Source organism: Homo sapiens, chromosome 13 (assembly GCF_000001405.40).
Source record: "Homo sapiens chromosome 13, GRCh38.p14 Primary Assembly".
NCBI classification, from domain to species: domain Eukaryota; kingdom Metazoa; phylum Chordata; class Mammalia; order Primates; family Hominidae; genus Homo; species Homo sapiens.
Genome location: NC_000013.11, coordinates 61563603 through 61578767, shown reverse-complemented (window position 1 = coordinate 61578767; position 15165 = coordinate 61563603). Strand labels below are relative to the sequence as shown.

Sequence of the window (15165 nt, the reverse complement as noted above, 5' to 3'; positions counted from 1 at the left end):
ACTGCTTATAGTATATTGTATTGCAAATGTGTTTTTAGTGTCCAAAAGATAGCAACACCGAAGAATAAATGATTTTTTTAACTGTCATTTTAAGTTCAGGAGTACATGTGCAGGTTTGTTATATAGGTAAATTTGTGTCATGGGGGTTTGTTGTACAGATTCTTTTGTCACCCAGGTGTTAAGGCCAGTACTCATTAGTTATTTTTCCTGATGTTCTCCCTCCTCCCAACCTCCATCCTCCAATAGGCCCCATTGCATATTGTTCCCCTCTATGGTTCCACGTGTTCTCATCATTTAGCTCCCACTTATAAGTGAGAACATGTGGTATTTGGTTTTCTGTCCCTGCTTTAGTTTGCTAAGAATAATGGCCTCCAGCCCAATCCATGTTCCTGCAAAGGAGAAGATCTTGTTCTGTTTGTGCCTGCGTAATATTCCATGGTATATGTATACCATATTTTCTTTATCCAGTGTACCATTGCTGGGCATTTAGGTTGATTCCGTGTCTTTGCTATTGTGAATAGTGCTGCAGAGAACATACACGTGCATGTGTCTTTATAATAGAATGACTTCTATTCCTTTGAGTATATACTCAGCAATGGAATTGCTGGATCGAATGGCACGTCTATATTTAGGTCTTTGAGGAATAATCTCATTGTTTTCCACAATGGGTGAACTGATTACACTCCCACCAACAGTGTATAAGCATTTCTTTTTCACTGCAACCTCACCAGCATTTGCTTTTTTTTTTACATTTTAGTAGTAGCCATTGTGACAGGTGAGATATGGTATCTCATTGTCATTTTGATTGGCATTTTTCTAATAATTAACGATGTTCAGCTTTTTTTCATATGATGCTTGGCCACAAATATGTCTTCTTTTGAAAAATGTCTGTTCATGTTCTCTGCCCACTTTTTAATCGGGTTGCTTGTTTTTTTTCTTGTAATTTTTAAAAGTTTTTTATAGATGCTGGGTGTTACTTTTGTCAGATGCATAGTTTGCAAAAATTTTCTCCCATTCTGTAGATTGTCTGTTCATTCTGTTGATAGTTTCCTTTGCTGTACAGACTTTCTTTAATTAGATCCCATTTGTCAATTTTTGTTTTTGTTGCAATTGCTTTTGGTGTCTTTATCATGAAAGCTTTGCCCATTCCTAGCCCAGAATAGTATTGCCTAAGTTGTCTTTCAGGGTTTTTATAGTTTTGTGTTTTACATTTAGGTATTTAATCCATCTTGAGTTGATTTTTATACATGGTGTGAGGAAAGGGTCCAGTTTTAGTCTTCTGCATATGGCTAGCCAATTGTCCCAACACTATTTAGTGAATAGACAATCTTTTTCCCATTGCTTTTTTTTGTCAGGTTTGTCAAAGATCAGATAGTTGTAGGTGTGTGGTCTTATTTCTGAGTTCTCTGTTTTGTTCCATTGGTCTATGTGTCTGTTTTTGTACCACTACCATGCTGCTTTGGTTACTGTAACCCAATAGTATAGTTTGAAGTCTGGTAACATGATGCTTCCAGGTTTGTTCTTTCTGATTAGTATCATCATGACTATTCAGTCTCTTTTCTGATTTCATATAAATTTTAGAATTTTTTTCTAGTTCTGTGAAGAATGTCAATTGTAGCTTTTTTTGTTTTTTTTTTTGAGACGGAGTCTTGCTGTCGCCCAGGCTGGAGTGCAGAGGCACGATCTGGGCTCACTGCAGGCTCCGCCCCCCAGGATTCACGCCATTCTCCTGCCTCAGTCTCCCGTGTAGCTGGGACTGCAGGTGCCCACCACCGCGCCTGGCTAATTTTTTGTATTTTTAGTAGAGACAGGGTTTCACTGTGTTAGCCAGGATGGTCTATACACATTTCGTTGGGGAGTATGGCCATTTTAATGGTATTGATTCTTCCTCTCCATGAGCATGGAATGTAAAGAAGAGCTGGCATCAATCCTGCTGAAACTATTCCAAAAAATGGAGGAGGAGGGACTCTTCTGTAACTCATTCTATGAGGCCAGCATTATCCTGAAACTAAAACCTGTCAGAGGTACCACAACAACATAAAACTTCAGGCCAATATCCTTTATGAACATTGATGCAAAAAACCTCAACGAAATACTGGCAAACTGAATACAGCAGCACATCAAAAAGCTTATCCACCATGATCAAGTAGGCTTTATCCCTGAGACTCAAGATTGGTTCAACATATGCAAATCAATAAATGTGATTCATCACATAAACAGAACTAAAGACAAAAAACACACGATTATCGACCTCAATAGATGCAGAAAAAGCTTTTGATGACATTCAACATCTCTTCATGTTAAAAACTCTCAATAAACTAAGTTTTGAAGAAATATACCTCAAAATGATAAGAGTCACTATGATAAACCCACAGCCAACACTATACTGAATGGGCAAAAGGTGGAAGCATTCCCCTTGAAAACTTGCACAAGACAGGAATGCCCTTTCTCATCACTTCTATTCAACATAGTATTGGAAGTCCTCTCCCCTGCAATCAGACAAGAGAAAGAAATAAAGGGCATCTGAATAGGAAGAGAGAAAGTCAAACTATCTCTGTTTGCAGACAACATGATCCTATATTTACAAAACCACATAGTCTCTGCCCAAAAGCTCTTTACACTGATTAGCAACTTCAGTCTCAGGATACAAAATCAGTGTGCAAAGGTCACTAACATTCCTACATACTAATAAGAGTCAAGCCAAGAGCCAAATCAGGTATTCAATCTCATTAACAATTGCCACACACAAAAATAAAATACGTAGGAATACAGCTAACAAGGGAAGTGAAAGATCTCTATAAGGAGAACTACAAAACACGAAAGCACTGCTCAAAGAAATCAGAGATGACACAGATGGAAAAATAGATGTTGTTAAATCTGTGACTGATAGTAATTTTATTTAAACTGTATTTATCATTTTCCAGAGACTCATTTGGGGCCAAGAACTATCATCAGATTTCAGAGACTCTGGTCATGATTTAGCTATTGTAGCAACAGTCCTATAGGAGCTAAATAATGACTATCATTTAAGCATAAAATTTTTTCAAAACTAAAAGAATGCACAGATTTACACAGTTGTGTTGTTAATATAAAGAAAAAAGAATAGCAATACTTCACTTGGGGAATGTGAATTATTTATAATGCATAATTTTACTACATGACACATGGATTATTTCTCAATCCTCTGCATTGATTGTGTAGAAATAACTGTCAAATTTAATAAAGGTCAGAATGGACATTTGGAAGTTTTGATTAACCTCATAGCAATTAAGGACCAAGCAAAAGCCAACCCACATTCAGCTGTTTTTTTTTAAGATTTTTTAATAAAGAAACTATTTACAGAACTGTGAGCAAGACTAAGGGAACCAACAAGCAATATTGAGGCACCCACTGACTAATAACAGCAGAAAGACAATATCATATGTCAGTCCCATGGACAGGTAAAGGAAACTGTTAGAATTTTATTGAGAGCTGCAACCTAGGAAGAAGGACAACCTGACAAGAGCTGTAGACAAAAGAAAATTTCTGCAAAAACTGTGAAGCAGCAGAGAAGGAACAAAAGGAGTAATTATCCTAAGTCTTCTCTCCTCCCATGCTCTGATCTCTTGTGGATGACTCCCATTGGCCAAACATAAGCAGGAACCACTATGCCAGAAAGCCTGGGGATATACTCTCCATAAGGAAAAAATCTGTCAGGGCACATGGTAGAGTAAATGAGATGGGGGAGTGGGTAGGAACAGAGAATAGCCAATATAATGCACTGTAGAAGATCTGATTTATTAACATAAATAATAAACAAGACAACCAGCAAGAAAAAACTCAGCAGACAGATGAGTCACTTTGGGGGTCTCAATAACTATATGATACTGTTGTTTTTATAGTCTAAATTATTTCTCATTAGAGCTGCAATAGTGAATACTGATTAGCCATCCAGATGTGATAGAAAGGTAGATATTTTAATACGGTTGCTACAGAAGCCTCTTTTGTGTCCTTCCCTGATCATACACCCTTTCCTTGTTCTTGAAAATATTCGTTCTCCTAACTTTCTGGCAAATATATCTTTGCTCTCTTTTTACTTTTACTACCACCTATGTGTACCCCACTGACTATTTTGAAACTTCATAGCAATAGAAAATACTTTTTTTATTATTTGTTTTGAGTTTTCATAACATCTTTATTGAAATATAATTTATAATTTATAAAATTCACCCTTTTAAAATTTGTAATTCAGTGGATTTTAGTATATGCATTTTTGATATCAACACCTCTAATTTTAGAATATTTTTATTATGTCAAAAAGAAATGCCATGTCCATGAGCAATCATTTTTCATTCCCACTTTTCCTTAGATACCGACAACCACGAATCTACTTTCTGTCTCTATGAGTTTGCCCATTTAGGAAACTTCATATAAATAGGATTATACTATATGCGTCCTTTTGGGTCTAGCTTCTTCCACTTAACATAATTTTTGCAAGATTCATCCATGTTGTATATATTAGCATTTTATTACTTTTTGTGGCAAATTATATTCCATTTTATCGACACATTAAATTTTTTAACCCATTCATTGAATGATGGACAGTTGAATTATTTTCACTTTTTGGCTACTATGAATAATGCTGCTGTACAAATTTATATACAATTTTTGTGGGAATATTATATGCAATTTCTAGTGGATGTGAGTGGTGTCTCATGGTTTTCATTGGTATTTACCTGATGGCTAATGATACTGACTCTCTTTTCATGTACATACTGCATATTGTATAACATTTTTGGAAAAGTGTCAATTCAAATTCTTTGTCCATTTTTTAAAAAATAAGTTTTATTTAGTTAGTATACCACACTTGTCTGCTATAGCTGCCATAACAAAATGCTACAGATTGGGTAACTTAAACAACAGAAATTTATTTTCACAGTTCTCAAGGCTAAAATGTCCAAGATCAAATTGCTGGCAAGGCTGGCTTCTTTCTGAGGCCTCTTCTCTAGACGTGTAGACAGCAGCCTTCTTGCTGTGTGCTTATGTGACCTCTTCTTTCTCATTGGGGCTGGATAGCTCCCTAATTTCTCTTCTTATAAATGCACTAATACTGTCAGATCAGAGCAACCTCATTTAACCTTAATTGCTTTCTTAGAGGTCCCAGTTCCAAATAAAACCACACTGGAAGTGACCACTTCAACATCTGACCTTTGGGAACATAGAAAAATTCAGTCAATCACAATACAATTTATACTTTAAATTGTAAAATTCCTTTGTTTTTAATATATTCATTGAGTAGTACAGCCATGATCACAATCAATTTTAGAACATTTTCATATCCTCCCAAGAAAACATCCATATTCACTAACAGTGACTCACCATTTTCACCCAATTCTCTTCCCCCTATCGCCTCGCAATCAGTATCATATTATTATTAATTTTTCTTGCCTGTAGAGCTGCCTCTTCAGGAAATTCTATAGAAATTATATCAGGCAACATGTGATGTTTTGTGGCTTTTTTTTTTCACTTACCATGATGTTTCCAAATTTCATTCATGTTGTAGCATGTATAAGCATTTCATCATTTTTTACAAACAAATAATATTCCACTGTATGGATACTCCACGATTTGTTTATCCATCATCAGATGGCAGGCATTTGGGTTGTTTACAGTTTTTGGCTATTATAAATAATGTTATTCATAACAGTTTTTTGTTGTTATCTGAGATTGGATAACTAGTTAAGAGAAATGAAAACGTAGGTCCAGATGGTAACGCTAGTTCTTGGAGAATTCATCAGTTTCCCTCAGGAAACCATGTGGCCCTGAGCTTTATTTGAGGGACATCAAAGAAATTACAGATTCAGTCTATTTTATTGATAGAGGTCTCTTCAAAACTTTTAGTGCTTCTAGTCAGTTTTATTAACTTGTGTATTTTCAGGAGTTATTTTATTTAAACTAGCTTATATATTTTATTAGCATAAGTTGTTTATACTATTCCTTTATTTTTATTTCTATAAGATTAATAATAATATGCTCTCTTTTAGTTACGATTTTAATGATTTGAACTTTCTTACTCTTTCTTGGTCAGTCTAGTTAATGTTTGTTAATTTTTTGAATCTTTTAATAAACCACTTTTTAGTTTCATGATTCTCTCTGTTGTTTCTCTGTTCTGCACTTTATAGCTTTCCACTTTAGTCTTTGTTATATTCTTTCTCTGCTTTTTAAAATTTAGTTTGCTCATTTTTTTTTGGTATCTTAAGGTGGATGGTTGGATTCCTGATTTGAAATCTTTCTTCTTTTTTAATATAGATGTTAAGGTATAAATTTCCCTATATGCATTGAACTATATGAATCCCTGCAGGTTTTGGTATGTTAATTCATATCAAAGTAATTTCTAATTTACTTTGTGATTTCATATCTGACTCACTGGTTATGGGGGAGTGTGTTGCTTAATTTCCACATATTTCTTTATTTTTCAAATTTCCTTCTGTTATTTCATTTTCCTCTATTGTTCTCAGAGGACATCATTTTTATAATTGCAATCTTTGTATGGTATATTTATTTAGACTTTCTTAAAGGCCTATCAATATGATCTACACTGCAGAACGACCCATGTGCACATGAGAGGAATGTACATTTCATTCCTTTTGGATGGAGTGTTACAGAGATTTCTGTTAGGTCCACTTGGTTTATAGTGTTGTTCGAGTCTTCTGTTTCCTTACTGATCTTCTGCCTACTTGTTCTTTCCTTTAGTGAACATGAGGTATTGATGTTTCAAACAAAATCATTGTTGCATTATCTATATCTATCTTCAATTTTGTCACTTTTTGCTTTATACATGTTTGGGTTATTAGGAGTATGTATATTACAATTACTGTAACTTTCTGATAGATCGAACCTGCAGTCACTATTTCTCTTTATCTATAGTAATACTTTTTGTTTTGAAGTTGTATTCATTTGGTATTAATATAGCCACTCTGACTTTCTCATAGCTGCTTTTGCATGATATATCTTTTTAAATCTTTATATCTTTTTAAATCTTTATATCTTTAACCTATTTGTACCTTTAAGTCTCAAGTGCATCTCCTGAAGACAGTATAGAATGGATCTTTAAAAAACCTGGTCTAACTATCTTTGCTTTTTTATTGTATTAACTTATTCTAATTTAATGTTAGTAATGATATAGTTCGATTTAGTCTTCTATTTTAAATTTTATTTCCTATATTTCTCCTTATGTTTACTTGTATATCCTTCCTTCATTTCTTTCATGAGAATCAAGCAGGTATTTTCTACTACGGTATTTTGATTCCTTTAATGACTTTTCCATTGTATATATATATATTTATAATACTATATATATGTATAATATATATAATACTGTGTGTGTGTGTGTGTGTGTGTGTGTGAGAGAGAGAGAGAGAGAGAGACTATTCTAGGGCTTATAATTGTTAACTTATCAGAACTGACTTTAGTGTATACTGGTTTAACTCCAGCAAGAAATGGAAGCATTAGTTCTATATAGTGTAATTTCCTTTTTCTCATTTGTCCTATTGTTATTCATGTTTTACACACACACACACACACACACACACACATTTATATATATATATATGAAAATCCAAAAATATACTGTTATATCTATAGCTTTAGATAATATTATATCTTTTGAAGAAGGTGGAAGGAAAAAATAAGGCAGGCGAGTACATATTAACAGAATTTTTTATATTGTCTTTCTAATTTACCATTTCTGGTTTCCTGCACTTGTTTTTCTGAATTCAAGTTACCATCTAGTGTTAATTTTTACTTCAGTGTAATTTTTCTCCTACTCACATCCTTTGTCCTGTTATTGCTAAGTATATTCTAATTCTATAGGCCCCACAATGCAATTATACATGTATTGTTATATAAAATTGCTTTTTAAATCAGTTAAGACAGGAAAATTAAGATGCATTTTTACCAGGTGTTAAATTTTTGTAATTAGCATTACCGGTGCTCTTAATTTCTAACATGCATTTGAATTACTCTCTCAGGTAAATTATTCTTAATCCCAAGGAACTTTTTCTAGTATTTCTTATGAGTATTACTTGCTAGCTATAAAATCTATGAGTTTTTGTTCATCTGGAAATGTTTTTATTTCATGTTCATTTTTGAATGAAATTTTGCTTGGTCAAAAAGTCCCTTTGGACTCTTTTTTGTCTGTTCCTTTGTTTTCAGTACTTTGGATAAGTCATCACCCCTCCTGGCCTCCATGTTTTCTGTTGAGAAGTCAGTTGTTAATCTTATTAGAGTTCCCTTGTACCTAATGAGTAAAAGAAGTTACTGCTTTCAAGATTTTCTTGAAAATCTTTGTCCCTCAGCATTTTACTATGATGTGTCAGGGTGTGAATTTATTTTCTTTTCTCTTTCTAAGGGTTTGTTGAGAATCTTAGATGTGTAGATTAAGATTTTTTTTCAAATATTGAAAGTTTTCAGTCATTATTTTTTCAATTCTTTTTTCTGTTCCTTTCTCTCTCTCATCTCATTCCTTCCACGGTATAATCTTGAGTATGTGAGTCACTCAAGGATGACAGTGGTTTTAGCAGGGCTGTCTTTGTCTCTTTCTCTGACTTCCCTGTTAATTTGTTGACCTCTCATGGCAACACATCAAACTTAGGCTTCACCAATTGCTGGCTGATTTCTCTATTGTTTTTGACAAAGTCTTAGGGCATACATCTACACGTTATGATCCAATTAAATTAAATTAAGTTTCCTTTTCAGGAGTACTTCCTGTGACAAATCTTTGAAGTTTGCTGTAACCATATGAAGGTTCTTCTTGGCTGTATAATTCCATTGCACCAATTTGGTTGGTTCAAAAGTAACTGCCGTTTTGCAATACATATAAACTGGTAGAAAGTTTAGCTTTTTGCTCTCTTGAAACTACCAGTCTCATGTCAATGGCTTAACAAGTAAATTTATTTACTCTGGAGAGAGCTCCAGAGCTCTGTTCTTACAGCTCACCCATCATCCTGTGCTAAATTTGTGCTTCACTGCTCCAGAGCTGGGGGTGAGGACAGTCCACTGCTTCTCTTTGAGTGACACTCCTGCTTTAAGAGCTTGTTAAAGATCAGATAGTTGTACATGTGTGGTATTATTTCTGAGGGCTCTGTTCTGTTCCATTGGTCTATATCTCTGTTTTGGTACCAGTACCATGTTGTTTTGATTACTGCAGCCTTGTAGTATAGTTTGAAGTCAGGTAGCATGATGCCTCCAGCTTTGTTCTTTTGGCTTAGGATTGACTTGGCAATGCGGTCTCTTTTTTGGTTCCATATGAACTTTAAAGTAGTTTTTTACAATTCTGTGGAGAAAGTCATTGGTAACTTGATGGGGATGGCATTGAATCTATAAATTGCCTTGGGCAGTATGGCCATTTTCACAGTATTGATTCTTCCTATCCATGAGCATGGAATGTTCTTCCATTTGTTTGTATCCTCTTTTGTTTCCTTGGCAGTGGTTTGTAGCTCTCCTTGAAGAGGTCCTTCACATCCCTTGTAAGTTGGATTCCTAGGTATTTTATTCTCTTTGAAGCAATTGTGAATGGGATTTCACTCATGATGTAGCTCACTGTTTGTCTGTTACTGGTGTATAAGAATGCTTGTGATTTTTGCACATTGATTTTGCATCCTGAGACTTTGCTGAAGTTGCTTATCAGCTTAAGGAGATTTTGGACTGAGACGATGGGATTTTCTAGATATACAATCATGTCATCTGCAAACAGGGACAATTTGACTTCCTCTTTTCCTAATTAAATACCCTTTATTTCTTTCTCCTGCCTGATTGCCCTGGCCAGAACTTCCAACACTATCGGAGTGAACAGGCAACCTACAGAATGGGAGAAAATTTTTGCAATCTACTCATCTGATCAAAGGGCTAATATCCAGAATCTACAAAGAACTCAAACAAATTTACAAGAAAAAAACAAACAACCCCATCAAAAAGTGGGCAAAGGATATGAACAGACACTTCTCAAAAGAAGACATTTATGCAGCCAACAGACACATGAAAAAATGCTCATCATCACTGGCCATCAGAGAAATGCAAATCAAAACCACAAAGAGATACCATCTCACACCAGTTAGAATGGCAATCATTAAAAAGTCAGGAAACAACAGGTGCTGGAGAGGATGTGGAGAAATAGGAACACTTTTACACTGTTGGTGGGACTGTAAACTGCTTCAACCATTGTGGAAGACAGTGTGGCGATTCCTCAGGGATCTAGAACTAGAAATACCATTTGACCCAGCCATCCCATTACTGGGTATATACCCAAAGGATTATAAATCATGCTGCTATAAGGACACATGCACACGTATGTTTATTGCAGCACTATTCACAATAGCAAAGACCTGGAACCAACCCAAATGTCCAACAATGATAGACTGGATTAAGAAAATGTGGCACATATGCACCATGGAATACTATGCAGCCATAAAAAATGATGAGTTCATGTCCTTTGTAGGGACATGGATGAAGCTGGAAACCATCATTCTCAGCAAACTATCACAAGGACAAAAAACCAAACATCGCATGTTCTCACTCATAGATGGGAATTGAACAATGAGAACACTTGGGCACAGGAAGGGGGACATCACACACTGGGGCCTGTTGTGAGTTGGGAGGAGGGGGGAGGGATAGCATTAGCAGATATACCTAATGTAAATGACGAGTTAATGGGTGCAGCACACCAACATGGCACATGTATGTATATGTAACTAACCTGCACAATGTGCACATGTACCCCAGAACTTAAAGTATAATAATAAAAATAAATAAATAAATAAAATAAAATTTAAAAAAAGAGCTTGTTGTTGGATAGAGGCATAGGTGGTGGCTTCTAGTTTCCTAACTTGTCTCTTCTTGTATGGAACCCTGGTATGCAAGCAAGCTGGGGCAAGGGTGATCAACATCTCAGTATGTTCCATCTTCCAGGCCTGAGATGAAACTTCCAACCTACCAGTGTGGGCTACGTAGATAAAAAACATACTTACATTCTCAGCGCTGGCGGGGAATAAAAAATGCAGACAGCCTGCCTCTCCTGGGAAGATACTATAGACATGGACCACGGACACAGCAGTCCAGAGTGGAGCTTCTCTTATGCTGAGATGGGATGGTGGCATGCAGAGTGAGAGTGGCTATGTTCTTCCTGAGAGTGAGTAGACACTCTTGAATATATATTTCTCCATTTGTTGTATACCCATATTACTGTTTCCAGAGACTATAGATCACTATTAGTTTGTGTGTTTAATTTTCACCAACTATGGTTATTTTGCCAGGAAGAGAGTCCCTAGTTGGGGTTCCTCAAAATGCCATTTAGGAAATTGTTCATCTGTAAGCTTTCTTTTGTGATTTTCTTCCTTTCCTCAACAATGTTTGTAGTCACTTCTACTGATATATTGTGGAATATGTGTAAAACACAGTGGTATGTATTGCGGTATGAAGTACTCATTAATTGTCATTGCTTTAATTATTCTACTTTATGACTATACCACAATTCCTTTTTCCAATCTAAAGTGATAAACGTTTACAGCATTTTATAATAGAAGAAATGCTGCCATGAGTATTATTGTAACTATCTCTTCACGGACAATTATGAGACTCTTTTCAGGTTATATGTCTAAGAATGAAATAGCTGTATTACATTGAATGAGAATAACCAGCTGTTATTATCTAATGCAAAATTGTTTTCCAAATACACTTTCACTAGCAGTGTTCAAGGGATTTCAGGATGTAGCTCTATCCCCAAAACAGTTTAGTATATGAAGTCATTGCAATTTTCGTCCCTCTAATGTGTGCTTGAGGTACACCATTAACATTTTTTTTCCTGATTATTAACAAAACTGAATTTTTAAAAATGTGTTTCTTGGCCATGTGTATTTTCTCCTTGGTAAAGTGTCTGTATTTTTTTTTTTTTTTTTTGCCTTTTTTTCTATTGGGTCACTTGTGCTTTTAATAGTGATTTGAGATATTTTAAAAGCGTTCTAGAAACGACTACTGGTTTGCCTAATACTGACTCTCAGTTTTTGAAAAGTTTACAAATATTTGCTCTAATTATGTATTAATAAGTTTTGGCATACTGCTTCATTCATTTAGTATGTTTTAATGCATAGAAATTCTTAAGCTCCGTGTAAGTGAATTTATTATTTTTAACAAGAAGGAGCATGACCTATTCACAATGCTCTTCCAATCTTCACCAAAGCCTCACACATAGTGCGCTTCCATTCTTCACCACAAGCTATTTCATCTACAGTGTTCTTCCATTTATTTCCATATGCACTGCTCACTCCATTTACCGTTTCACTCCTATGGCAGGCTCCATCTCAATGGTCTCCCATTGGCCACCGCAGGCGCTGCTCTGTAGATAGTGCTCCTCCAGTCTTCATCTTAGCACTACTCCTCACACAAAGGTCTGCTTCCAGTTTCACAAAGGATCCAAGTTCTCTCCCTAATCAGAGCCTTTCCTTCTGTTATTTTCTCAGCTACTTTCCTTTATCATTGTATTGTCTAACCCAGTTATTCTTTGGTTTCAAATGTAATAATCATATTTAACAAAGACCATTTTAACCCCATAATGTTAATTTCATCATTCATTATATTCTCACTGATTACTCTGTGTTATTTTTATAAAACCTTAATGTGACTCGTTTTTATATTATTTAATATTTTCTAAATTAAATTATGTGTTTCACACAAATGTTGGCTATGCTAATACAATTTTTCTAATATTGAAAATGTAATGTAATAGATAAATAGTAAACATTTATTAAATGAGTGAGCAGGTAAATAAATAAGAGAATATATAAGTAATGGAGTATTTCAAGCATGTCTCTAAATTTAACTTTTGTTTAAGCAAGGCAAGAATTTTTAACAATTTCTTTACAATTTAAACTTATACTACTTTAATGTATTTTCACTTACCTATCATTCAATATAGAGGTAAGTACTTATTGCTGTCCATATCTTTTTTACCCCACAAATGATTTCTCAGTTTGTTTTTTTCAAAAGCTAGATCAAAACAAAAAACAAAAGTTAGATCTACAATTTAAATGTATTTTTTATTCTTATAACACAATTGTTAAAGTATTTATAAGGCATTTTCTCATTTACAGTTACTGTATCCATATTGAATTTGAAATTATTTTCAGTGGCTTCCTTGTATTCTTATCACCTTCACTGCAAATCTTAGATGTACATAATATTTAATTAATTTATAAAATGCCATAGCATATTCAATTATATGAAGTCATTTGCGAACCAACAAGATAGACTCTTAGTAAACATTCAACTCAACAAGTAGAAATGTGTGTGTAGAGTTGACTGTTACCACCAGCTCAGCATGTACATCACACTCTGGAAATCCATAGGTTTTACAGACTGTGAAGTATAATGGTTAATCTGCAAATTTAATTAATTTCAAGTCAGTCAACAAATTTCTACTATTTTCCCTTAGAAGATATTTTATGCAATAAACCAAAAAGAATTTTCAAATTCTTTATGCATATATATGTAACTACCTATGAAAAATGTATCATAGGTAGTTATACAAATGTGTCAGCCTTTAATAGATACTACTCTAATTTTTTTCAGTATTTACAGTATAACTGTACATTAACAGTAAAGAACTACCATTATCTGAAATTTTCATGATGATTTTAGTCAAAATGTTGTTTATATCATTGAATTATCTGTCTCTATTATAAACTATAAAATCTTTCTATTGGAACAGAATTATATTTTTTAAAAAAAGAGTCCCTTAACCAAGTGATCAGCATTATACATCAGCACAAATAACTCAGATTCTTTCCTTTGTTATTTTATTGTCTAATTTCAGTTATTCTTTGGTTTCAAATGTAATAATCATATTTAAGAAAGACAGTTTTGTCCCACAGTGTTAACTTCACCATCTTGTATAGTCTTCCTTGTTATTCTGTATTATTTTTATAAAATAAATGTACCTCCAGTTAAGACGCTATGTGAAAATCACATCACTTCTGCGGGTTTCTAGCCCCAAATGCGTAACCTCAGTATAATTACGAGAAAACATTCGAAAAACACAAATTGATGGACTTCTGAAAAAATATCTGACCAGTTTTCTTCAAAAGTGTAAGTCGTGAAAAATGAGAAAAAAATGGAAAAATGGTCACAGATTGGAAGAGACTGAAACATGACAACTAAATGCAGCACAGTATCATGAGTTTGATACCAGAAAAGAAAAAGAACATTGGGAAAATTGGTGAACTCTAATATATAGTGTAATTTACTTAGTGTTAATTTCCTAGTTCTAATAAAAGTACATGATTATATAAGGTATTAACACTAAGTGATGCTAGGTGAAAGGTATATGGAATCTCTTTGTACTCTCTATGCAACTCTTCTGTAAATATAAAAGTATTTCAAAATTAAAACATATTTTTAAAAAGCAAGCTTTTTTTCCTCTGAAAAGCTATTATAATATGTAGTTCTTTGAATATGTCAACTATCTTTTTTTTTCTGTAAAGCTATTACTAGGAATTGCTTGTAAATGATCAAATTCTAATCCATGTCATGTGTGCTGTTGTCTCAATGTATCGCTGTTTATGTCATTTTCGGATGGTTATCATTCCTCCTGGGAAAAATGCCAAACTAATTTCTCCAATATATTTCTGATTAGTCTCGAGTACAATTAGAAAAGTCATAAAAATTTCAGCTTTATTATAGTTAGATATAATTTTTAAGAATTATTTTATCCAGAAAAGTAACCTTCTGCCACCTAAAGAACATTCACCATCTAAACTGTGACCAGAATGAGACATGAGTGTATTTTAACACTGAAGGGAAGGTCTGGTGGAATGTGACAGCCTGCTTCATCTCGGTTGTTTTGTGTTTTATCACAATGTACAGCACCCAGCTAGATTAAGCAGTTGGACTTCAGCATATTGAACAAAAACTTTGCTATGAACTTGTTTGCTTGGCTAAACTTGTGAAACAGCCTGTACTCTAAACTCTGAAAATAAATACAACATTATCTGGAAAGATATTTTAAGTGTTCAAGTTAGTTAACCCTGATAACCCACATCTTAGAATCTCACTGTAATAGGAACAATAACTTACAATAATAATTTCAAGTTATACTCAAGAAGATAGCCATCAGAATCTTACTGGTAAGTGAAAAAT

At 34.1% G+C, this 15165-nt stretch overlaps 1 long non-coding RNA gene across 1 annotated transcript; it reads right to left on the bottom strand.

Moving 5' to 3' along the window:
• Positions 1-4887: 4887 nt before the first annotated feature.
• Positions 4888-15165, bottom strand: LOC105370231 (uncharacterized). Its single transcript, XR_942010.2, has 3 exons — positions 15103-15165; positions 12931-13017; positions 4888-5187 (listed from the first exon to the last, which is right to left on the bottom strand). It is a non-coding gene; the product is annotated as an uncharacterized LOC105370231 (long non-coding RNA).